Source organism: Homo sapiens, chromosome 11, assembly GCF_000001405.40.
Source record: "Homo sapiens chromosome 11, GRCh38.p14 Primary Assembly".
NCBI classification, from domain to species: Eukaryota; Metazoa; Chordata; class Mammalia; order Primates; family Hominidae; genus Homo; species Homo sapiens.
Window position 1 is genome coordinate 130,866,250 of NC_000011.10, and position 24,940 is coordinate 130,891,189.

General features: G+C 41.3%; 1 protein-coding gene across 13 annotated transcripts in view, besides 1 other annotated feature; it reads right to left on the minus strand.

Moving 5' to 3' along the window:
* The window catches only part of SNX19 (sorting nexin 19), a 50,230-nt gene continuing 25,290 nt past the window's right edge, over positions 1–24,940 (minus strand). For 9 of the 13 annotated variants that reach the window (NR_144939.2, NM_001347924.2, NM_001347927.2 and 6 more), the window contains 3 exons: positions 14,373–14,557; positions 13,375–13,462; positions 1–12,305 (listed from right to left, as the gene is read on the minus strand). Coding sequence is in view for 11 of the 13 variants with exons in the window: in NM_001347924.2 (NP_001334853.1) it covers positions 12,173–12,305; positions 13,375–13,462; positions 14,373–14,557 (406 nt within the window). In the remaining 2 variants the exon portion in view is untranslated. The other 4 variants (NM_001347926.2, NM_001347919.2, NM_001347920.2 and 1 more) reach the window with 3 other exon arrangements.
* Positions 5,074–6,273: an enhancer, noted in NCBI's record as "BRD4-independent group 4 enhancer chr11:130741218-130742417 (GRCh37/hg19 assembly coordinates)". NCBI's record gives its function as "activates an origin of replication core promoter dependent on BRD2, P300/CBP, MED14 and CDK7 cofactors, and independent of BRD4, by STARR-seq in HCT116 cells {active_cell/tissue: HCT116}" and the evidence as "EXISTENCE:reporter gene assay evidence [ECO:0000049][PMID:35650434]".

Sequence of the window (24,940 nt, forward strand, 5' to 3'; positions counted from 1 at the left end):
AACATTTGTGTATCTATTTACTAAGCATTTTTTATGTGCAGGAGAGAGTACAAACCAACATGCAACATAGTCTTCATTCTTAAAAAGTACATAGTAAAGGTATGAAAAACATTTGTATTCAGAGAATTCTAAGACAAATGGTCAAATATTCAAATGGCCTGGCACTAGTGGTAATTCCAGCAGACAAACAGCATGAGAAAAGGCCGGGAGACAGTAATAAATACGTGCCCATTGCAATGAGTTACCCAATCAAGCCCTTTTACCTCCTTAAGATGGCAGATTAGAAGACCCTCTTCCCCAGGAGAGTGGGAGCGTCTGCCTTCGGGCTGTCAGTAATATTAAATAAGAGTGCTTGATTTATAAATTTTAAAAACATAAGAAGGTTTGACATTCTGCCCAGAGCAACGGAGGGCAGCGTGGTTTACCAGCGAAAGGACTGAACAGAGTGCCAGGAGCCCTTAGCTCTAGACTTACTGAACAGAAAGACCTTGGGTGAACTTTTCATTGAAACACTGAAGGCTTTAGGTTCATACCTGTATACGAAGGATAGTCCTGGTGTGGGGCAGCAGAAATGCCACTGAGCTAGAAGCTGGAAGACCCAGGTCCTGGCTTTGCTAATAATAATGACATTTATTATGCACTGTGTGCTAGAGGTTGTTCTTAAACGTATGAGCTCATTTAGCTCCCGTGCCCACCCAATCTCTGTGAGGAAAGCTCTATTCTTATGAGCATTTAATGGACAAGGAAACTAAGCCACAGAGGTGTGAAATCCCTTTCCTAAGGCCAGACAGCTAACTACTGACAGAGCTGGAATTCTGCCTGGTTGGTTGTCGGCATAACCCATGTTCTTAATCCCCGTGCTGCTGCCTCCCAATAAACTGGGTGAGTGATCCTGGGCAAAAGACAAGCTCTCTGCATTTCAGTTTCCTCTTCAGTAAAATGAGGACATGAGTATTAATAACTTGCCAAATTACCTTAAACAGTGATTGTCAAGATCTAAATAAGACATTGGATATGAAATACTTTGTGATATAGAAAGTCCTATACATGTGTGAAGTCTTTTCCTCAGAGGAATGATGAAAAGATGAAATGAGATGGCTGATGGGAAACGCTCTGGGACATGAACATAAAAGTGCAACCTAGATGATCAGTGCCACCACCATCCTGGGAAAAGCTAACTGGCGGTGAGCAGGCTCTTGGACTCCATGAAAATTTAAGGATGTGGCTTCTTTTTCATATCTGTATGGTATCTTTACTCAACTTGATTTTGGCAGGTTTAAAGAGGAAAAATGAAGGATAGGAAGTTTTTATCCTAGAAGCCTAGAGAAAGTGAAGTATATTCCTTTCAAGAAGAGAATCCCCGGGTTTCTTTCCTTTCTTCCTTCCTTAAATTGAGACCCAAATGAGGTGGAAGAAAATCTCTACTGAGATGAGATGCATTTTTAGGACAAACATGGAGACCATCATCGTTGTTCCGGAATCTGGCCATGTGCTAAGAGACAGCTTCTGCTCCCTATCTGATATTACCAAGCTGGACAGCATCTTTTCTATGATCCAGTTCAACTTCTTTGTATGGAAGAAACTGAGGTCCAGGGAAGTGAAGAGATCGGTCCAAGATCACTGGAACCCATGACTACAAGGCAGCTCTTGCGATGCCAGGCAAATGTGTGTTCCTCCCCATTTCACTGCCTTTCCTTTGGGTGGCTTTGGGGGGAGTGAAATTTTTATGAGAACCCACATCATAATCCTGTGACAATGCCAAAGAACGAAATGATTTTTTAAAAAATCTCTTCTCTGAAATGGCTTCTCTGCCTTCATATTGCCTGAAGAGTTAAACAGACACAATCTGGATGAGTCTCAAAGATAGTAAGAATCACCTGTTTTCTCGTGGTAAGAAGGTGCTTCCAGAAGGCTGATTTTTCACTTCTCATGCCTTCCCTTTTCACACACTGGGGGCAGACACTCTCTCCTACTGACAGGAAGAGAATTAGCCTCCTTTGGTGTTACTGCTCCTTCCCACTTTAGCTCAGCATTATACACACAAAACGGGTGGGTGCGGAGCCCTTTCACCAGGAACTGGGTTGCAAAGTCTGTTAGTGGAAAAAAAAGCAACACCCTTCTTGAGCCCGTAATTTATCAGATTTTTTTTCCTGTGGCGATACAGAGGCCCCTTCACCCCAGCAACCAAGAGGCTACAGCTGGATATGTGCTTATGAGATGGGTCATAGTTAAGAGCTGCCAGCCTGGGGTCTGTTTCTGGGACATTTCCACCTTAGATTAGACAGGCATTGGAGTCAGGAGCTAGCTGGTTACTGTAGCAACAGGCCTTCAAAGCTTCACATTTCAAATGGAAGCTGCTACGCTATGAAACTTGCTCAGGACACCCTTTTTCTCAGTTTGAGGTTAAGTACTCCTCCGCCCCCAACCCCCCGACCACACCCCATGCCCAGTATACTCTTAGAGCAGAGAGGAGGTCTGGAGGAGACAAGGGCCTAAGGCTTCACCCTTGCTCACTTGGAACTAGGCATTCTTGCTGTCATCTGGTTTAGTCAAGGGGGTTGTGAGGCGTGTGGGCTCCATTGTGAGTGTAGGAAAGATGGAAAGAAAATTGCCAGATGGGGATGAGGATTCCAAGCCTATCAGGAGGAAAGAAATATGTTACTCACTGCCACAAGAAGGTTGCCAACGTCATTTATGGATCAGCAACTGCTTGTAGGCAAAGTCTGTTACATGCCTGTCACTGGGCTATGCACCCGAGGATGGAGGCACTAGCTGAGGCTTACGAGTTAGAATAGATAAGGTGAAAATTGTCTGCCATGGTATATGCTGGAAAAACTCTGGGAAACAAGACAATCTGCCTCCAAGGGATTAACAGCCCAGTAGGGAAGACAGACCAACAGGCAAACCCTAAGGGCGGGTTAGAAAGAAGCTTGACTAGTGTAGGTGCTTCAAAATGAAGACAGCTGTGTATGTCTCAGTCAAGCTGTGCGGGTCCAGCCAATTTAAGATAAACTCTGTTTAATTACATTTTACGTTTTAAAAGGAAACTTCTTCATTACATTGCCTATCAGTGCAGTTAAGTAAAAAGGCACATGGAACTATATGAACAGATGCCATTAACAGGTTTTTGCTTTTACATGTCATCTTTCCCATTTGAGCATTAATTACTCAGTATTTTCTCATCAGTTTTCAGAAAGTTTTTCGAGGATAAACTTGTAGAGGGATTTGGGGAGAGGAAGCTTTATTGGGATCTCTAGGGGCTATTTTATATTTTCCAATGTCTGAACTGTTTTTACAACAGATTTTCCACAGAAAGCTCAACAAGTCACTAAACTTTCTGAGTCTCAGAATCTGGGACTTAAAATCAGGGGAAGAGATGTGAATGGCTAAACTTTCTAGTTGTGTGAATAGTTTGCAACATATAAAGAATTGGTCAAAATGTTTATTCTTAGGGTCGGTAGTTATTCTGACTTCACAGAAGGGAATATCTGGCCAACTTTCCTCACAGAATATCAATTGTGGAATCAAGTATAGGGAATATCATGCATTTAAGGTTCACATATAGCCTTAAGTTGATGTCCATATTGATTTAACTATCAAAAAGGCAATTAGATTAGTGGGGTAGCCAAGTCACCCACAAAGACTGATGAGCTGATATAGAAAAAAAAAAAGGAATAAAGAAAAAGCAATTGTGAAGTTCCATAAGAATAGGAGAAATGACAGATATGAAGAGTTTTTTGAAGAAAGTTTCTTCTCTGTTGCTATTTAGTTTTAACAAAGGAGTTTCAGAAATGAACATAGAGAAGCAATTGGGTGAGGCTCCCTGCTAGATGAAGAAAACTTCTATCACTTGGGAAAAATCCACAGAAATCCTAATCCTATTAAAAACTTAGGTCATTCCACCCCAACAGTACTCTTTCTTCCATGTCCAAAACCATACGTGGAGCTTGCTTGTGTTTCAATACAAGCTCTTGCCTCAGTCCTCTCCAGATTGCTAAAAGGAGGTGTATAACCCTGCTCTTCAGCAGAAAGACCGCAGGTATTCCCGCCGCATCCACATATGCACACTTACTTCCCTTGGATGTGTGGCAACGAGCTCTGCTGCTGCAAGTGTTATATGCCATCCGCAAACCCACATGGGTGCAGGGTGCACACCTGAACAGGGGGTAGCCTCTGATGAAACATTTGAGTAATGGATTTCTTTACCTCACCTAAACAGATCCACTGAAAAGGAAACTTTTTGGGTTCCCACCCACACGCAAGATGTACAAAGCTGTCTGGGGCAGGTCTGGTACAGACTAGCCAGTGCCCTCCACTGGAATAAGTGGTTAATCTCAAAGAGGTTTACGGTGGTTTCTCCACATATCTTCACCCTTCAAGCCTTTCCATAAAAGTCACCAGCACCCTGTCTCTGGGATGTGGAAGGTTGGGAGAAAGGAATCAACAAAATGAAAGTAACAGTATCAAGATCCAGACTTATTCACAAATTTTGCCTCTTAAATAAACATAATCTTTAATTAAGTAAACTTTAATATTTATTTTGTACCTATCATGCACTAGGTATATACATATAGTTGGGGGGGGGGCATAAGGACATAATAGGACTAAAAAAGATAAAAGATATGTTCGTTGCCCTTGAAGAATTATAGTCTCTTACTGAGGACTTCATATACATGCACATTGACTAGAGAGGCAGTGTAAATAACTGAAAAGAAAGTGGGAAGAGTTTTGGCTGGTGCAATCAGACAGTGCTTCTTGAAAATGGAACTTGAATTGGTCCTTATGGGCAGAGGTAGCCTACTTGCCCAGCTGGAGAAGAGAAGGTAATCTACCACGTGGAAGGAAGGACATGAACAAAAAAATGAAAGCAGGAAGGAACATGCTGGTTTGGGCAGAATAAAAAATCCCTAGATTTTTTTGGAAGTTTCTCGTCTAACCTCCTGCCTAAACCATCTATAATACATTCTGTCCCCAAGAAAATGCTCTACTGCCAACTAAGCCCATGTGATTCTCCTAGAGATGCATGAGTCCTTAATGAAAGCTGCCCTCACTATTCTTGAAAAAGCCACTTGCATTTATAGATAACAGAGGGTAAACTTTAAACACAACTGCATAAAGTGGCAAGGAACTGGCCTGCCGTCAGCTCACTGAATTTGGATTCCATGCAAGCAGGATGTGTAAAGGAGGTAAACTCCAAAAGTGTTTTTCCTCCCTTAATAAGGTCTATTCTTCTTGGTGTCAAGGTATGAAAAGCAGTATTTCATATCAACGTTCATGGTTAATCTTTTTGATAGTTACAGGAGCAGGATGATTCTTCACCCAGGGGCACGGGCAAAAGGGCTGATTACCTATGCTCACAAGTCACCAAATCCAGTTCAACACAGTATAAACAAGCCATTGCTTCTGTCGACATTTGAGTCCTTTTGTCTGCAATCAGGGAGTTCTGTGTTTATCTAGCTACATCTTTACTCTCATGGGTTAATCAAAGTTTCTGGAAGTAATCACAGCCAACTCTTCTTTGCTTATAACAGGGTGCAGCAGTAACATGGAACATAAGGTGGGAAAAAAGACAAAAGTGTGGATGATTCATACATTATTCACAAACTTACCTTCTTAATCACTACAACACTTTAATATTAAAATTAGCTTACACTTCCTAAACAAACACTGACTGGTGACAAAGGGATTGGGTTAAAAGGAGCAGATAATGTCACTTCAAGAAATGTTTTCTAAGTTTGGATCTTGATTACTGTTACCTTCGTTTTGTTTTTTTAATTCTCCCCTCCTAAGCTTCCACATCCCAGAGATGGTGTGCTGGGGGCTTTCACGGAAGCGCTTGCAGGTAAGGCTTGGAGAAGTGAAGACAGGTGGAAAAACCAGGTTTCATCAAGCTGTTGAAGAGACATCAAAGCCAGGAGTAATTCTCTGCATCCTGTCACATGCTTGTTTCTGCCTCCAAGAAAGCAGAGTTAAAATGGACTTTCAGACCAGAGACAGGTGAGGATGACAGGGAGGCAGTGCAAAGGCTCCGCAAGTCTGAAAATAGCATAGTGTGTCTGCCAAGGTCTGCGGGTGCCCAAATTTCCCCCACCGCTTCACGGTGGCCTTGGCTTTACACACTGTTGCTACCAAGTCACAGAAGGAAAAAGATTCTGATGATTTTCACTTGTTTCACGCTTGACAATTAAAACATTCTTCTGGATTTCCTTTTTTTTTTTCTCTCTTAAACCAGTCAATGTTGTCTTTGTGTAATAAGAAATATCAGGTAAGTCTTAGGATGTGGACATCATGTTTGGGGCAATGTCTCCCTCACCGCCTCTCTCATCCTTTATACCATAAAAGAGTGATGGCAATATGCTAGCTGAAATTCACCCTTCGATGGTTTCATTTTCTTGTCTACAAAGGCAGGGTGAGCGACTGCTGCCCTGTGATTTCTGGCACTCCCAGTGGAAAGGAAGCAGAGGGGCCAAGTTATGGCAGAGTGCGCCCAGTTAGGCCTTCGACTACAAAAGTATCATGGTTTCCCTTCCTCCCCAGTTACCATTCTTTCCCTGGTTCCCATCCCCTTCCACATCCAGCAGTGTGGGCTAACCTTCCTTTCCTCATCCTGGGAAAACACATCTTGCTCCAGTGCAAAGTTAGATTGGACAAACAGCCGGTGTGGAGGGGGCTGTGGGAGGTACGGCTTGCCAGGACAACTTGGCTGAATGGGTTCCTGAAACAAGGCATCTCCAAATGCTCCCTGCCCCTCAAACAGCAGAGGAGTGTGATAATCATGCTGTCAACATTTTTAGAGCATAGCACTTACACTTTTACTAGGCCTCACTCCGGACCTATTGAATCAAAATTTGCATTTTAACCCGATCCCACGTGAATCACACACACATTAAAATTTGGTAAGCAGTATTCTAACTCACTAGACCGCAGGTCCACAAACTGACTCATGGGACAAACCCGGCCAGCTGCCTATTTTTGTAAATCAAGTTTTATTGGAACACAGCCACACTTGTTTATGAATTGTCTACAACTGTTTTTACGCTACAGTGGAAAAGCTGAGTAGTTACAACAGAGACCATACTGCTGCAAAACCTAGTATTTAGTCTCCAGACCTTTACAGAGAAAGTTTGCTGGCTCCTATACTAGACTGTAGACTCCTTAAAAGTGAGAACCTGATCTTGTTCTGCTTTGTAAGGTAGAAGGGCAGTTTAGTATAGTGGATATACTACGTAGACTCAGAGGCAGATTGACATGGTTTGTATCTAGGCTCTGCCACTCCCTTGCAAATGACTGTGGGTAAGACATAACCACTCTGTGCCTCATGTTCCCCACCTAGAAAATGGGGATATATTAGATTGGTGCAAAAGTAATTGCATTAAAATGGCAAAACTCCAATTACTTTTGCACCAACCCACTACATCAGAACCTACCTTTAAGGGTTGATTTGTGGGTTAAATAAGTGAAGATATGTAAAGACTTTAAGTAATGCTCTCAGAAGATGTTAACTATTAGCTGGTACCAGGCATTTTGGGAGTAGATAGGGGATCTGCTGAATGTTGGCAGAATGACCCATCCCTAGAGCAGACATTGTCTATCAATACCCATTCTCTGCTTCTTCCTTGCTAACATCAATTATTTCTGTAGATATCTGACCTTCATGGAAGATGACCTCATCTCTGGGGGAAAATACTATTGAAAGCCAATCACAATGCCATTCTCAGTGTCAGTGGATTGGCATGAGGTGGGTGGTTCTAGCCAATGAGTCATAAGAGGTTTTTTGTTTTTTTTTTTTTTATTTGGGGTCTCACTCTGTCACTTAAGGCTAGAATGCAGTGGTGTGATCGTAGCTCACTGCAGCCTCAAATTCCTGGGCTCAAGTGATCCTCCTGCCTCAGCCTCCCTAGTAGGTGGAACCACAGGCGAGAGCCACCATGCCCCGCTCATTTTTTATATTTTTTGTAGAGACAGGGTCTTGCTATGTTCCAGGCTGGTCTTAAACTCCTGGACTCAAACAATCCCCCAACCTTGGCCTCCCAAAGTGTTGAGATTATAGGTGTGAGCCGCTGTGCCCGGCCTAGAAGAGGATTCTTGAAGGACTTCTGGGAAATGGTTCCTTCATTCCTTAGAAGAAAACACAGAAGAGATGCTCCTGTTCTTTTATGAATGTTATCTCTGGGTGTGATGCCTGAAACTGCAGCAGCAGGAAGGCAGGCAGTCTGAGAGCACAGCTGACCTAATTAGAATGGCAAGGAAGAAAGATGGAAAGAATTCAGGCCCCTTAAGAGGTCTCAGAGTTGCTGAATCACCAAACTCCTGGGCTTACCTACTCACGTACTAATGTTATGAAATAAAATAAATTTTCCTCATAATTTAATTCTTGTCCAGAGCATCCTGATTCATATAGCCAGGGACCATAGTTACACATATTTTTACTTCCTCCAGGACCTAACAACTGGTGTTGTGTGCTATGAGCAAAGGAAGAGCAGTAGCTGGAAATGAATAACCTGGGTAGGACACAGGAAGACTCAAAAATGTTCTAGGCTATGCAAATCAAAACCATGAGATAGTAATATCACCTAATACCTTTTAAGATGCCATTATGAAAAAACAAAACATTACAAGTGTTGGAGAGGATGTGGAGAAACTGGAACCCTTGTACATTGTTGGTGGGAATGTAAAATGGTCTAGTCACTATGGAAAACAGTATGAAGGTCTTCAAAGAATTAAAAACAGAACAATATATGATCCAGCAATCCTACTTCTGGGTATTTATCTAAAATAATTAAAAGCAGGGCCTCGAAGAAACAGTCACACTCCCATGTTCACTGCAGCATTGTTTTCAACAATCAAGGCGCGGAGCCAACCTAAATGTCCCTCAATGAATGAACAAAGAAAATGTGGCATAGCCATACAATGGAATGTTTTCAGCCTTAAAAAGAAAATTCTGTCACATGCTGTAACGTGGATGAACCTGGAGGACATTATGCTAAGTGAAATAAGCCAGTCAAAGGACAAACACTGCATGATTCCACTTATATGAGGCGTTCAAAGTAGTCAAACTCACAGAAGCAGAAAGTAGAACAGTGATTGCCAGAGGCTGGTGGGAGGGGAAACGAGGAGTGGCTGTTCAATGGGTATAAACTTTTGGTTATGCAAGATGAAAAACTTGTAGCAGTCTGCTACAAAGCACTGTGCTGCTTCTAGTTAATAATGTACCGTCTCAAAATAAATAAATAATGTACTGTACACTTAAGAGGGTAGATCTCACATTATGTGTTTCTTTACAACAATAAGAAAATCACCTTGTAAACTGGAAATTTCCAAAATGGAAATTGGAGTAGCTTGTATTGATTTTAAAATTTATACATGCTCTCACTCATAGGTGGGAATTGAACAATGAGAACACTTGGACACAGGAAGGTGAACATCACACACTGGGGCCTGTTGTGAGGTCGGGGGAGGGGGAAGGGATAGCATCAGGAGATATACCTAATGTAAATGACGAGTTAACGGGTGCAGCACACCAACACGGCACATGTATACATATGCAACAAACCTGCATGTTGTGCACATGTTCCCTAGAACTTAATGTATAATAATAATAAAAATAAAATTTATACATGCTCCTAGGCTCAGATTTAGGAATTTATTTTCCATTTAGGTTTTATTAAGTCTAATCCAACAATGCAAAAATGAAACTGTGAGTTATATGTGATGAAAAAGTATAGCTTTCTTGAATTCAAATAAGCAATGGCAAAGATCACATTTAGAATTTGACAGAAAGAACACAGCATCCCTGCCTCGTCTTTTTTATAGATAGTAAGAAAAGGGAAAGTAGTCTTATTTCAAATATCAAAATTCTGACTTAAATGAATAAAATTTAGTCACGAGTAAATACAAAAAACAAGCAAACAATAAAACCTTCCTGGATCAGCACAGGCCCAATTCTTCCCTGCCTTTTATCACCCTGTCAGCTGGGAGTATCTTTTCTACCTGTGGCTCTCTACCAATTGTTACTCTCTTGTTGTCTGAACCTGCTAGCCAAACTTGGCAGGTCGTTTTCAAAGCCAGATGAGTTCTGATTGTTCCCTTGGCAATATCCATTATTTCCCTCCTGGGTAGAAGGAGGATCTGAGGACAGCTTATCTTTTTGGGGTACGTGGAGTAGAGGTGGGGACTCTTATATAATACGAAATAAAAATAAGTTCTTTGGGCTGGAAGTGTCAAAAGATTCCTTAGAATTTATAGCCACAGGGATTTCATGGTGTGTCTGATGTACTGATTTTGTGCCACATTTGAGCCAGAACTGGCAGCAGATTCAAAGCAACACAGGTGGCTAAGTACACATGAGGGGAAGGTAGGTATGGGGAGAGAAAAGTGGCATAAAACAAGGCTGTCCCCCTATGCTCATCGAGAATAGGATCTTAGCCCTCACTGAAGGAGCTTAATGATCAGCTCTAATACATTGGCTGGACTCCTGCAGGTACTCACGGAAAGTAGAGATGCTGAGCTACCTTTTCTTGTCAAAGTCTAGGGCTGGAGATGCTTCAAGAACTTTGGAGCCATAAAGTCACTGTAATGGTCAACTTTTAAGGCTAGAAGAGGCCATGAGACATCTCATTCATCTCCTTGCCTTTGGGCAAGAATTGCACACCTAAGCCTCCCGAATACATCAGACACAATTTAGGGTTAAAAGCCTCCAGAGGGGCAAAAAAGTAAAAAGATTTTACAACTTTCTTCCACAAACCACTTTAATTGTGTGCTCATCACCGACTTCAGAATCTAAGAGAACTTTGACACTTGTTTTTGACACCCCATTGCCTTCTCATCAGTCTAACTCCAAGACCTTCCTCCGAGTGGTAGGCTCTGGTAATTCAGCGAAAGCAAGGCGCTAACAGGCGAGTGTGAAGCCAAAGGGCTCCCAGTGACATCCTTGACATCTTTTTGCCAGCTATTCACATGCATTTAATATACAGCACTTCCCTGTGACTGTCTGCAGCCTTTTCTACCAGCAATTCCTCCTGATTTATCCTTCTCCAGCAATTCCCAGTTGCCTTGCCTTTCTAATAGATGTTGCAGTCTGACAAAACACCTTTGCCTTCATGCTGGTGTTGTTAAAGGACTGATTATAACCGTAAGGAATGGGAAATAAGAAGCTATTCCTTGTAAGTTTGCTAATCTTATCTGTTCAGAATAATAAAAGTTCTCTGTCAAAGACTTAGGAAGGGAGATTTCATCCCCCAGCCTTGCTAGTCCTACTCTTTGTGCATTCTTAAGACAGGAGGCAAGTGCTTTCCATTCTCCTTGGAAAAACTGAGGCTGAATATGCAGCTTGTCATGCAGTTTTGCTGAAGACAGAGAGAGGGTCAAAAATTCAAAAACTCAATTGCTCTAGGGCAGGGGGTTGGGAGCAAAGCCAATAAATAAAATGGGTGGTATAAATGCCTTTCAGGAAAGGGTGTGAAGGGTGGGGTGGATTTACCAGAAGCTTTGGCAGTCAGCTTTGAAGTCTTCTGGAAAGGAAAGTGTAGCCTCCCAGGCAAGCAGCCTCATGACATCTTCCATAAGGCTGATGTGTTGGGAAACAGCAACACATGAGCAAGAAGTTCCTTGAAAAATTTTCTTCCCTCCTTCTTCTTCTGGAACTGTTGGGAAACTAGATTAGACCCAGGAGTCTGGTTTTTGAGAATGGCCCTGAATGAATTTTTAGTTTCCGGGTAGGAACAGAGAGCTGAGAAGGTTGTTTTCTCCTCCAAGGAAATCTGGCCACAGTTTTTTTCCTGTTCTATCTAGAGCTTGTGTGCTGGTGGATTAAGCACATGTGTGCACAGGGCCAGGATTCTGGCAAACAATCTCAGGGAGGATGGCAAAAGGAGAAGCAAAAGGGGTTCATTCCTCTACCTCACAGCTTCTTTTCCCAAAGGAAACAGGATCTACTCACCAGCAACAATCCCAACATCACAAAAGGAACAGGGAAATAAACGTGCATACAACTGGGACACACAGACCCCTGTCACCTGCTACAAATGGAGCAGAAGTGGGAGAGAAGTGAGCCACCGAGAACCTAGGCCTTCTTAGCTGTAGCCTACTTGAAGAGGGCACGGGCTTCCTGACTGGTCTCTGGTGGCCGAGTAACTCTACTTCCCTGACCTGGGAAGAAGGCGTGAATAACCAGCTAAGAGGAGACACCCATCCTCTTAGAGTTGCCTGGGGTATCTGAGGCAGAGGTGGTAGCAGCAGACTCCTCAACAGAGGCACTGAGATCCAAGAATTCCAGGATGATGTCCCCAAGGCAGTAAATCAAATGCCTGAAACGAATGGACAAAAAACTTAGGGTCTGGCTCAATCAGGAAACACAAGATCCTGTTTATGACATTTATTTTCTCCTCCCCCATCACCGACACCCTAAACTTCAATAGCTTGATGAAACCTCTGCCATGAAATTAATGTTTTTTGAACTAATAAAGCCTCTGACCCTAATAAAGGCAAGAACAGTTTTTATATAAGACTAGTTTTATATAAGACTAAGTTTTATAAAATTCCATTTCTCTTTACATAGTTACATTAGCACTGCTCTGAAGAACTGTGATAACAAATCCTTGAGATGTCAGGTTACTAGACACTTTCAGAGCTCCTGACTACTGCTGTTTCTCATAATTAATTACCTTAAATTTATAGGCTGCCTTACAGGCAGTGAGGTAAAGCCAGGATCCTTGAGGAAGTTAACGAACACAGTCTACTTTGGGGTAGGGTTTGAGTGCAAGGTTACTCAATACTTCCAGAAGAGTAACAGCCCAAGGGATGGAATCTACCTCTTCTGGATTATTCTAGGACTCTTCACCCAGCATTTCTGGTCCCTTTATGAAATTCCAACCTTACTATCTTGTCTACCTGATATGAAGCAAAGACAACTCCTGGTCTTGACATGAATCACAGCTTTGCTATAAGGCCAGGGCTCATGGTGAACATCTTTACATGGTCTGTGATACACAGGCCAGGGTACGCTCTTGGAGCATTCACAGGGGCTGGCAGATGTTGGAAAGAGCACTGAGCAAGTATGCTGAACAAGCCTGGAGGATAAGAGGTCATTTTCAGCAGCTCATGTGGGGGCCTGCATAGAGTTCTTCCAAACACAAATGGTGGGTGGTCCAAGAGTGATTTCCTAGCACATGACGACCTGCTCAGAAGCCTGATGGTGTGGATTTTACTTAGAGTGTGTGGATCTGGACGTCAAACTCTGTAGTCAGTGCCCAGAGCAAGTAAAGACTACAATCCTATTCTTTGGAATGTGGGCTTTTCACTCAGAAACCTTGGATACCTCTGAGACCAGAGGTGGCTGTAACTATGCTGATGTTGGAATAACATTTTCCCACTTACCTGTTGATGAGGGGTTGTTGTAGTGACTCCAGGACTAGACCCCAGCTCAGCCGGCATTTGTTCACCCCAAGAATTTCTACTACGAGATCTGAGGAGGAAAAAACAGATGGAATTTGCGTGTTATCACTGAAGTTTTAGATTCTAAGGACAGTCTCTCCCCAGGATCTCTGCCGTTTTTACATAGGTTAGGTATTTCAGGCCTACCTCTAAACCATACAGCCAAACTAAAATCCTCACAAAACAGGAAAAACCTGAGAAAAATATGTTTCTCAAGTTAGGTGTCTACATAAGAATGGGCTTCAAAAATTATTTTGTAACCTGTCACTCAAATGCAGGTACTCCTTCCAATGTAACAGTTTAGGTTGGCAAACAGAGTTATAATAATAAGGGTAAATAAAACTGATTGTCCAGAGCTAAGTTCACAATTGTTTCCTGGTTATCACAGCCATAGGCAACAAACTGCCTTCCTGGCCCTCTAAAAACACAATGCAAGGAAAAACAACCTTCTCAGATTTTGTTTTAACTTATTGCTAAAGGCCATGTACCATACTCAATGGCTGCAATTTATTAAGTTGGAGCTTCTGTGAGACATGTGATTTTCTTCCTTGGTCCCAAAATGCTATGAATTGGTAGAGAATCTGAAGTCTTCATCTCCTGGAAATGGCTCTGAGACCTGTCCCTGCAGGCAGAGCTTCCCCAGACCTGCCAGCAGGTAGAGAGAAAGTTATTAACCTAAATATCTGCAGGATTGTCACCTAGTATTTAGGGTGCAGCTGTAGAGTTCCTTTCCATTCCCTTGGCATCAGCTGAGCAATGGATAAAAGAATTGCAGCCCTGTTCATTTTCCTATTAGCCTGGGAAATGATGGGTCAACAGAGTTTTGAATCTAGCCACATTCAGGGCCCTTTTACAAACAGGAAAAGGTGCAGGGGTAATGGTGGCAAAGCAGAATGGAAGAGAAATGTGATTGGTATAATTGATCTCATTGGTCCAATTACCTGGGAGGACTCCCATCAGGCTCTGCAAAGCCTGTTTCTCAGCAGCCAGTTTCTGCTCTTGGGTCCTTACGGGCCGTGGAAACTTAGGCAAAACTCCACCAGGCCAGATGGACTCCTGAAGAAGCAGGAGGTACTGCACCCAGCGCTGTGGACTTGTTAAATTAGCTACCTGCACCTCTAGCCACCTGTGGTAGAAGAGAGACGAAAGCTTAGATAAAGCTGAAGGAAAGGAAATAACAAGGCAGCGGACTGACTGTTTATGTTCCCCTGCAGATTCGTGTGTCAAAATCCTAACCCTCAAGGTGATGGCAGTAGGAGGTGGGGCCTTTGGGGAGGTGATTAGGTCATGGGGGCAAAGGTAAATGCCCTTATAAAAGAAACCTGAGAGAGACTTCTCACCCCTTTTGCCATATGAGGACACAGGGAGAAGACAGCTGTCTATGAACAAGGAAAAGGGCCCTTGCCAGACACCAGTTCTGCTGGTACCTTGATCTTGAACCTCCCGGCCTTTAGAAACTGTGAGAAATAAATTTCTGTTGTTTATAAGCCATTCAGTTTATGGTATTTTGTTATAGCAGCCCAAACAGACTAAGATACCATGAATTACATGAGCAATCAGAACAGGACAAAGTCAGCACTGACTCTTGCAAAGGAAACCAAGACAATTCAACAGCCTGGGATAACAGAATTTGAAGATGAGTAACAATAAGAATCGTGTTATTTATGGAGCGTTCACTATGTGCCATCTACCGTACAAGAAGTTTTACAGAACAGAACACTAAAAGGGCCTCCGTCTCTGGGTGAGCCTGCACCTATACCTTCCCAACTCTCCTCTGGCAAGGCTGCACCTATTATCTTTCTAGCTCTCCTCTGATGGGAAGCATTATAACCTTCTTGGTAACATGTACACACAGACTTCACAGCTACGGACTTAGCGATCTTTAAACAAATTCCTCTCTCTACCTCCCCAGCCATATCTTCTGGTCCTCATGACTGTCTTAGGGATTTCCTACATCTGCCCTTTGTTCATAATAGTTCTCTCACTAACAAGGGCCTCTTCTCGCCTTGCCTGAAGAGCAAGTCTCAAGTCTGCCCTTCTGGCAAGACCTGTTTCAACCCTACTTCCTCCATGAAATCCTTGACCATCACAGCTGGAAGTGCTCTCCTTCTCCATAGACCTCCTTTGGCAGGTAGCTCTGGAACAATTACTTTGGAATATGCATCTTTTTAAAGGTGTTTATAGCTTTACTTCTTCAACTAAATTATAAGCTGTAAGAGTTCTGTGTCTTGTACTTTAAAAAAACTCCCCGCCGTGCTTGGTGCTCAAGAAATGGTTGACTGACTGATAACTGTTCTTATTTCAATGAAAAATTTTCCCTTTGTCTTACTTTCGAAAATGAGTCAAAATTTTCCCTTTATCTTACTTTCAAAAATGAGTCAAAAATGAGGGGGAAGATATACCAAATCTGGAGTTCAGCTGGAAACCTAGAAAGTGGTTCAACGTTATTCTTGATCTGTTCCTGAATTTTTTTCAAAGTGATATGGTCAGAAGTGAGGTTCAAGGCTGTTGAGGCCTCCCCTTCACCCACCTCATTTAAGACTGACATAGCTGTGTGGGTCATGGATGGACAATCAACCACTTCTATTCATGCACGGAAGACTCGTTTGATCCTGCACCACATGGCAGCTCATGCCATCACTCCTCGCTCCTATACTCGAGTCACTTGTCACTCATCCAAGAGCAGAGGGGGCTGCCAAGGCAAACTTTATTTAACCTCCACTCTGCCAGACAGTCTGCATTCCACTCAAGCTGGGCATTCCAGCCATGAGGGCTGCAATCCCCCAAGCCCAAGGCTCACAACTGATTCTAAGAATAGGAAGTGTGTAAGGTAATAGCAGGGCAAGAATGGCAGCCATCGATGGAGATCAAGAGTGGCACAAAGCTGTTCTTGTCCAAAATAGCCAACACGATCGTATTTGTTATTATTAGGGCCGCATCTCCTTTTTATAGGGCTTTTCATTCAGTGAGCCTAAGATGCCTGATGAAAGGAATCCAGTAGCAAGAATTCCTGTTCCTGTTTATGTAAGAGGGTCACTAGAGGGAGGTGGCTGCAATGACCTGATCGGCTTCTCTGCAGGGGATTAAGTGACCCAAGGTCTCCTTTCTTCACCTCAAGCCATGTATACTTCTGCAATTTTTGCTGAGGAGAATGATGTGTCTTAGGGTCTCATCTAACTGTCTTGAGGGAGAGGGGCAAAGTCTTGCAAACTAAAATCTTTAGCCACATGATCCTTCCTAGACTGAACATGTTGTAACATGCCAGCAAGCCTAGGTACCTCAGCCATCTTCTGGCATGTCTTACAAAGCAAGAGTTACATTCTTTTGAATGAACATTAATTTATCTGATGGGGACAGGACCTCACATGGCATTAGGACAAGGATATCCTCCTTGTTCTCTTGCATGGTGATTAAGTGTCTCATGTACATGTGTGGGATGCAAAATGAATTTTATCATGTGGCAAAATATAAATTTATAAACTTATACAAATCTATAAGACAGCTTTTCAGACTCTAAATGGAAATGTTGGGGAGAGACATAAAAGTAGGAAAAGTAAAAATAAGCACCTGATGATGAAGATGAGTCTATGAGTCAAATAAATTTGTGGAAGCTAATAAGCACAACTCACCGAAGAAAAGGAGTGCCATCTCTGAGTAAGTATCAGCTGCTGATGAGACAAAGACACTGTCAAGCACTGTACATACAAGGCACAGAACTGGCCAACAGGAGGCCCTGGAAAAAGTCAGGCCCAGGAATATAAGAAACAGGACTTTCACAAACTGGCAGAAATAAACTCCCTCCAGGCCTACAAAGAGGGACAGAGTTTGGAAAGTGACTTCTAGTCCCTGGGAGCTGCAGAGTGCCAGCTTTCCTTATTCTTCTCCACACTCTGAAGATAAAAGACACAAACCACACACTTGCACCACGCATGGTTTAAACATTTGCTCTCTTTCCTGGATTCTCCTCTTGCCTACGTTCTGCCCACCCTTCCCCCTGTCAGCAAACAGAGGCTTTATCCTAGGCCTTTGGGCTCAGCATGGTCTTATTTCCTAGTCCCAGGCAGCCTGTGTAGAAGACCAAGTGCAACAAATCTTTCTTGTTCACAGAACTTCTGAGCGATGGTGTCTCGTTAAAAATGATGAGCACGCCAATCTGGAAGGAAAACATGATAAAGAGCAAACCAAAAAAATCACCACCACAACTGCCACTGCCCTCACACAATACAATCTCTAAATTTTTTAAGCTGTAATTCAATTTCTAAGACACACTTTATTATCACTCACTATGCCTTTCTTAAGTTGTAAATGGCTGTATATTCAGGGATTTGGTATACTTTGCCTTGCCCAACACCTGGATGGAACCAACTGCCACTGGTTCTTGAGAGCAATGAAGAAGGTGGAGATTTCTTCATCCAAATATCTTTCCTCTCCCTTTCATCCCTACCTTCCCTTCCTTTGGTTCTATCATCCTTCTCTAAGGTAAAGCTCCATACACACCACCATTTCATTATCTAACTTTATTAACTCCCCTAATCATGCTTGATTTATTTGGAAACTGGCTAGAGCACGGAAGACAAAGACATTAGGTGTAGGATTGTTAAAAGGGGCAGAAGTCTCAACTCCTCTCCATTAACTCTCTTCATCTCGCGATTTCTACACTGCATCTTTCTATTCTTATCATAGGAGTGGGAAGGTTAAAAAGAGATTCGTAACCCTATAGAGCTCTCTTTAAGTGGAAGGGATGGAATTTATGTGTCTGAACTCTAATACATCATAGGAGGTTTTCCAGCATCAGTTTCTGGACTTTGCTGGTACCATTTACTATTAGGCTGACAGAAATCTAAAGCTTCAAGGTCAACACACACACACGTTTCTCTTACTATTCATTAGAAATTACTTATAATAGGCCGGGCATAGTGGCTCACACCTGTAATCCCAGCACTTTGGAAGGCTGAGGCGGGCAGATCACCTGAGGTCAAGAGTTTAGACCAGCCTGGCCAACATGGTGAAGCCTCGTCTCTACTAAAAATACAAAAAAAATTAGCTGGGCACGGTGGCGCACGCCTGTAGTCTCCAGCTACTCGGGGAGGCTGAGGCAGGAGACTCGCTTGAACCCAGGAGGCAGAGGCTGCAGTGAGCCAAGATCACGCCACTGTACTCCAGCCTGGGTGACAGAGGGAGACTCCATCTCAAAAAAAAAAAAAAAAAAAAAATTACTTATAATAAATCATTTACTAAATACAAATGCTCTTGTTCATGTAATACAAGATGCATGAAGTAAATATGCTAAAATAAATATGGTAGAGAATAGCCTCAGATAGCACTGGTTTTATTTTCCACTACTATTCCAGGTCTGATATTTGATTTAGAGATATCTCTTTCTATTATCCTGCCTTCATCCCAAAGAAGAGAAGAAAAAAGAACCCAAACCAGGTCTCTTGTGTCAAGCCATCTCTGAATGATTCAGAGCCTTAATAGGGGGCCTAGAAATAGCCAGTAAAATGGCCAAAAAACCCCACTCCACAACCACATTTTGACCCCAAGACATTCAAGAGCTTCCCTTATGCCAGACAGGGGAGAAGAAAGGATGTGGAGATCAGGGCTTGTCAGTAGCTGGGACTGCACATCCACTCCATGTTCAAGGGAACCTGGTCTGAAATAGCCGCAGATAGGGGAATGAAGCAATGACTAAAAAGGAGACAGTTTAATACTAGGGCTTAAGATGGCACTTCAAGGTTAGTAGAAGGTCATTTCCCATCAAAACAGCAGAATCAAATCTCATGAGTAAGGAGAAGGCTTTAGAGACCATGTCTAATCCAATTAGCCAAATCCCCTTCATTTCTTTTCTAAGACAGCAGCTATGGCTGAGTGAGAAAGGGTCTTGAATCAGTATGGCTTAATGAAGAGGAGAAAGGGAAGAAGATACTAAAATCATAAAACAGAAAATATTCATAAGATCCACAACAATATTCTAAACAAAAATGCCTGGTGCAGTCTAAATATAAGGAAAATAACAGGTCCATTCCTTCCAGCCTATTTATCTATTGGCTGTACCTCTATAGACAATCCAAGGGCAATTATGCTCCAACCTTAAGATACCAAATACAGTTCAAAGGAAAAGAGAAAGAAAAGGAAGATCAAGTTAAAGCTTCTATCATCCTAAGTACACCTTCAGTAAATTAGAAGTATTGACTTATTTTATTACCCTGAGAGCAGGGTTTTCAACGTTGGTACTACTGATATTTTGGACTGCGAAATCTTTGTCATAGGGGCTTTCCTGTGCATTATAAAACATTCCACAACATCCTTGCCCCTCCTCCCCTCAAACTAGATGCTAGTTTTGCCAACCAAACATGTCTCCAAACATTGCGGCATGTCCCCTGAGGACAAAATTGCTCCAGTTGAGAATTACTGCCTTAGACCCAGGGACTTTTGGATATAATTGTATCAGGCTACTTTCACAGTCATTTTAAACCTCATGGTTGTAGCGCAATGTTTTTCGACCTGTGGGCTGGACATCATTAGAGGTCATATCATCTGTTTTGTTGTTTGTGATAACATAAAAAGGCATCTCATGTTTGGAGACACTTGTTTCGTATGTATGTACATATATATGTATATATCAGATCTGCGTGCATGCATATGTGTGTATGCGCCTGTGCCTATGTGCATGCTCACAGTGGGCTGCAACGTACAATGCATTTTTTACTGTAGGTTGAAGTTTTAAAAAAAGTTTGAAAAACACTCATGCAGTGTCAAGAATTAGGAGTTCCGAGAGAAAGTAGGAGAAGCCCAAGCCACATTTTTAGCTTCCTGGAAATGCTCCCCATCTCCACCCACCCAAGCACCCTGTAAAATGTTTGCAGGGGCCTCAACCATGAACACTGTGTTCTGTACTGCCAGTCCTAGCACATAAGTATGAGTATTGGCTCATCCAATCAGTAGCAGCAATCTATAGGGTGGGAGAGAAAGGAGGTCTTGGAGGTGATGGTGTAGATTCAGGACATTATCCATTAAACAAAATGTTTTTGCCCATTTCACACCTGATAAAAGTTATACTTCTTTTCTCTCTGATGCCGTTCCCAGGCCTCTGTCTTCCTGCCATGGCCCCTTCTTGTGTTTATAGACAGTTTCCCCTGTCAGCTCTCAGCTCTAGGCTTCTGTCCTGTAACTATCCAGACCCAAGTTACTCAGCTGTGTCTGAGAAAGTTCAACACTGCTGCCCTCTGACTGTGTATCTAGGTCACCATCCTTTCCTGCCCAGTGCTGGGGAAGAATGAGGAGGAAATGAACCCCGAGGGCAAGAAACTACCACTTCTTTCTCCCAATACTACTGTGAAATCTAAAATGGCTCAGAGTTGGCACAATTTCTTCTCTGATTTTTGCTTTCATGTTTTAAATCATGGATCCACATCTTTGAATCATGTACTTCAAGGGAAGACTTGACATTCTCCTAAATACCACAATATAAGAATCTGAGTTCCATACATTTATATCTAGCCACAAACAGTTTTTGTTTTTGATTAGTAATGTACACATCACAGATATAAAATTAATATGTATTAAAAAATGGAAGGATTCTTAAGGAAGGAACTTCAAAAAATCATCTGTTCAACCTTAGTGGTTTTTCCAATCTCACCAACTCTACATATGAAAGCATTGGGCACCAAAAGGAAATATTTTACATCAAGTGGCTTATAAGAACATACAACTTGAGAGTTGGAAGGAAACTTAGAGGTTATTTTATCCAGTCTCCTCCCAAAGCAGAAACCTCCTCTGTAATATAACGGCATAGACAAGGGTTGGGTCCTGTGAATCCAGAAACTTGGGCTTTTATCTTAGTTCTGCTACCCAATTAGCAATGTGACCTCAGGCAAGTGGCTTAATTCCTTAAAAGCATAATCTAAATTCATTGAAGATGCTTCTTAAACCTTGCCAACCCAAATCGGCCTCCTTGTGTTAATGAATTCTAGTCATTGGTCCTAGTTCTACTCTCTGGAGTTACCAGATATTAGGTTAAATCTCTTCCAAAAGACAACATTTTGCATTTTTAAATTCAGCTATTATTTCTCCCCTATGTCTCTTCTACATCCCATACATCCGTGATTTTGCCAACCTCAAAGACACTCAATAAATGTCTGATGAAAGAAGGAGAGAAATGAACCACTCCTCAACCTGGCTCCATCCTCTGGGTGTGCTGCTTAGCTTTTCTTTTAAAATGATGTGCCCAGAACCAAACAGCTCTGAGATGTGACCTGACCAGCAAAGAACATAGGGGATTGAGCCTTCCTTTAGATTTAGATACTATACTTCTCATACAGCCGAAGATTGTGTTAGCTTTTTGGCACACACGTCAAAAGCACTGACTCATATTGAGTTTTCAGCCAGCTAAAATCCTAAGTCCACACAGGTACATTACAAAAAAAAAAAAAATCGTGTGCCCCTCTGTTAAGTATAGTCTTGCCCTTCTGTATTTGTGCAATTAAAAAAAAATCTAAATTATAGTTCATCTTGTTGGCTTTAGATTATCATTCTAAGTTTTCTAAATGTTTTTGAATCTTAATTTTCATCATCTAGAGTTTTAACTACTCCTCTAAGATTAGAATTACTTGCAAATTTTCTGATGAAAAAATTGATCAGGATAAGATGAAGAGCAGTGCTCTATTACTAGAAATTTCCCTCTAGGATGGCATCAGTTTATGATATTATTTAATACCCTTGGGCTAAAGACACTCGACTAGCCACAAATTACTTAAATGTACTATAATGCAGGCAACATATTCCATTCTGTCCATATGGATATTATGGCAAAAACTTGTTGGAATCCATACACAATGTAACTACAACTGCATGCTAATCAGGCAGGGCACACTCCTACTGAACCCATAATGGTTTCTAGGGTTCCCCATTGCCCTTCCCAAATGTTCACAAACATCTATTTCGTCATCTGCTTCAGAAATTTCCAGAAATAAATGTTGGGGTCAAGAACCTTTAACCATTTTTTAAAAAGGCAAGATATCTGTGCATCTCTAACCCATATGGACAAATGGCAATGTTTCTTAATGACCTTAGGTCTTTAATGTTAAATATAAATTTGTTAAGTTTCATGGGATATAATTCATCTAGGCCATGTACAGGTTTAAATGTACAAACTTTAAAATAGGTTACGTGCTCTATTATTATTTTCATTTCTATTTTGGTCGCCAATTCTACTTTAATCATGTCTGTTCAATTCTTCTTGCTAGGCCATTTTCCTTGACAAAGAAAATAGAAAACAGCCTAGCAAATAATAGACCCATTCATTCACTGCTGAATGAATGAATAAATGCTTTCACCATGTAATCAGTTGATACTACAGCATCTGTCCCAAACAATTACCTACATATATTTTTTCTTGTTAGTAACATGTGACACGTGTATGTGTTTTTCACCTAAGTCTTTTCCCTTAATATTTATCTACAACCTCAGCTCCTTCTGAGTTGAAGCTTACTGGACCCTGTTCTTACTAGTTCTATTACTACTATTTTTGCATTGTTCAGTATGTGTCCCCTCTTTCTGTTTTTAAAATATGTTCACCTAGAATCTGATCGCAGTTAACTACCCTGGTTTCATTTGATGCTGACTCTTTTTCTTCCTCATTGGAAATGGGTGTTTAATTTGTTCATTCATTTACTCAAAGCATTGGTTGAGCTTCTTGTAAATGCCCCCCGACCCCCCAGAAAAAGACTCTTAAGGTTTTGAAGGCAGAAATCTTATGTAATTCATTTTGACATCTCCTTTAGCATTTAATAGTGTCATTCACAAATAAACAATCAAATATTTACTGAATGAATCGATCCTGTTGCAAAACTTTGAGTGATACCTTCAGGCGTGAATTTTAAGTTAATCTGTTCTTACAGCATGTAAAACAGTTTTTATCTCATTCTGTTACGCTCCTGTGAATTCCAGTACTCTCATCTATCTCTGCTTTCCTTTCTGTGTCAGCTGTTTTTCTCAATATCCAGTTTTAACTTTATCTGAATTTTTTTGTCAATGTCTTACTCTTCACTGGGTTGATGGTCTGCTGACAAACACATTCTTTCTACTATTTTTGAGTTGTATTCTGTCTGTGGTCAGAAGTTCACCATGTGAATAATCATACGTCATGGCACAGAAAATTTAAAAACCTTGCCTTGGTACCAGCTACAAGGTTAGCTATTCATTCTCTGTTTTCATTTTTCTTCTAAAGAAACTTACAGATAGAAAAAAAGTTGAAAATATAATCTGGGCCTTAAGTTTTCTACTAAAAAGAATCTCAAAATTATTAGAGATACAGTACAGGCTTCTCTGGGTGCATCATTGATTTTTATATAAATCAGAGTAGATACTAATCTATTACTTTAGTAAGCAACAGGATTTTAACCACAACCCCAATATGCTGTTCAGAAAGATATTACCCCATCTTTTTAGTTATGCTTCTCAATCTGCAAGGTGGAAAACTGTGTGAGTCATTCTTGATTTGTCTTTTTCTCAACCCTAATCCAACACCACATAATCATTTAAATAGTCACTAAATATAGGTGATCCTACCTCCTCAATATCTCATGAATCTATTACCCCTTTACCATCTCTATAGCAATGATCTCAGCTGAATGCCTCATCACCTTTTCTATCAATGAAACTCCTCCCTAATTTGTCTTCCTGTTTCTAACTTTGGCCCCTTCAATTAATTAATCCTCCACAGCACTATTTAAATGATTTTTCTCAATTGCAAATTTGCTCATGTCATCATCTGTTTATGTTTTGTAAAATTGTTTCCTATCAAATGAGTGACAAATGTTTTGTTCTTGGAATGACTCACAGGAGTCTGAATGAGCAGACTCCCTTTAAACTCTTCACTGTTATCATCAGCCATTATTCTTGCATATCATATATTCCTAATCAATCATACTAACTTCTTTGAGTACCACAAATACACTATATTGTTTTACTGCTCTGCCTTGAATGTTCTCTCTCTCTCTCACTGTCCGCTGGCAACGCCCCACATTCTTTAAATCTCATCTCTGATGTCATCTACTATAAGCCTTCCCTGCACCTCTCATAATTGATAAATCCCTTCTCTGAATCACATATAGAGTTCTTTTCAAAGCACTGATTTTATACTACAACTCCTATTTATAAGTTTGCACCTCCAATTGGATATCACACTTCCTATGGTAGGGATTTGGGTCTTTTTTTTTTTTTTGTATTTTGATCACTTAACGAAGTGCCTACCACAGAGAAAGCAATCAATAAATATTGGTTACTAAGTGAATTCATGCTGTATATGGGACAAACACTGGTCTTAAAGCATGGCACACAGTTCAAAATAGGTTCTGCAGAAAGCATACATCCCAATACTTACAACAGCAAAAACATTGAGCTCTTAATTATTCATGCTTACAGAGGAAGACAATTATAGATTTTAAAAAATCATGGACAATATAAAAATCCTTTATATTTGGCATTCCATATATGTTTATATACACGT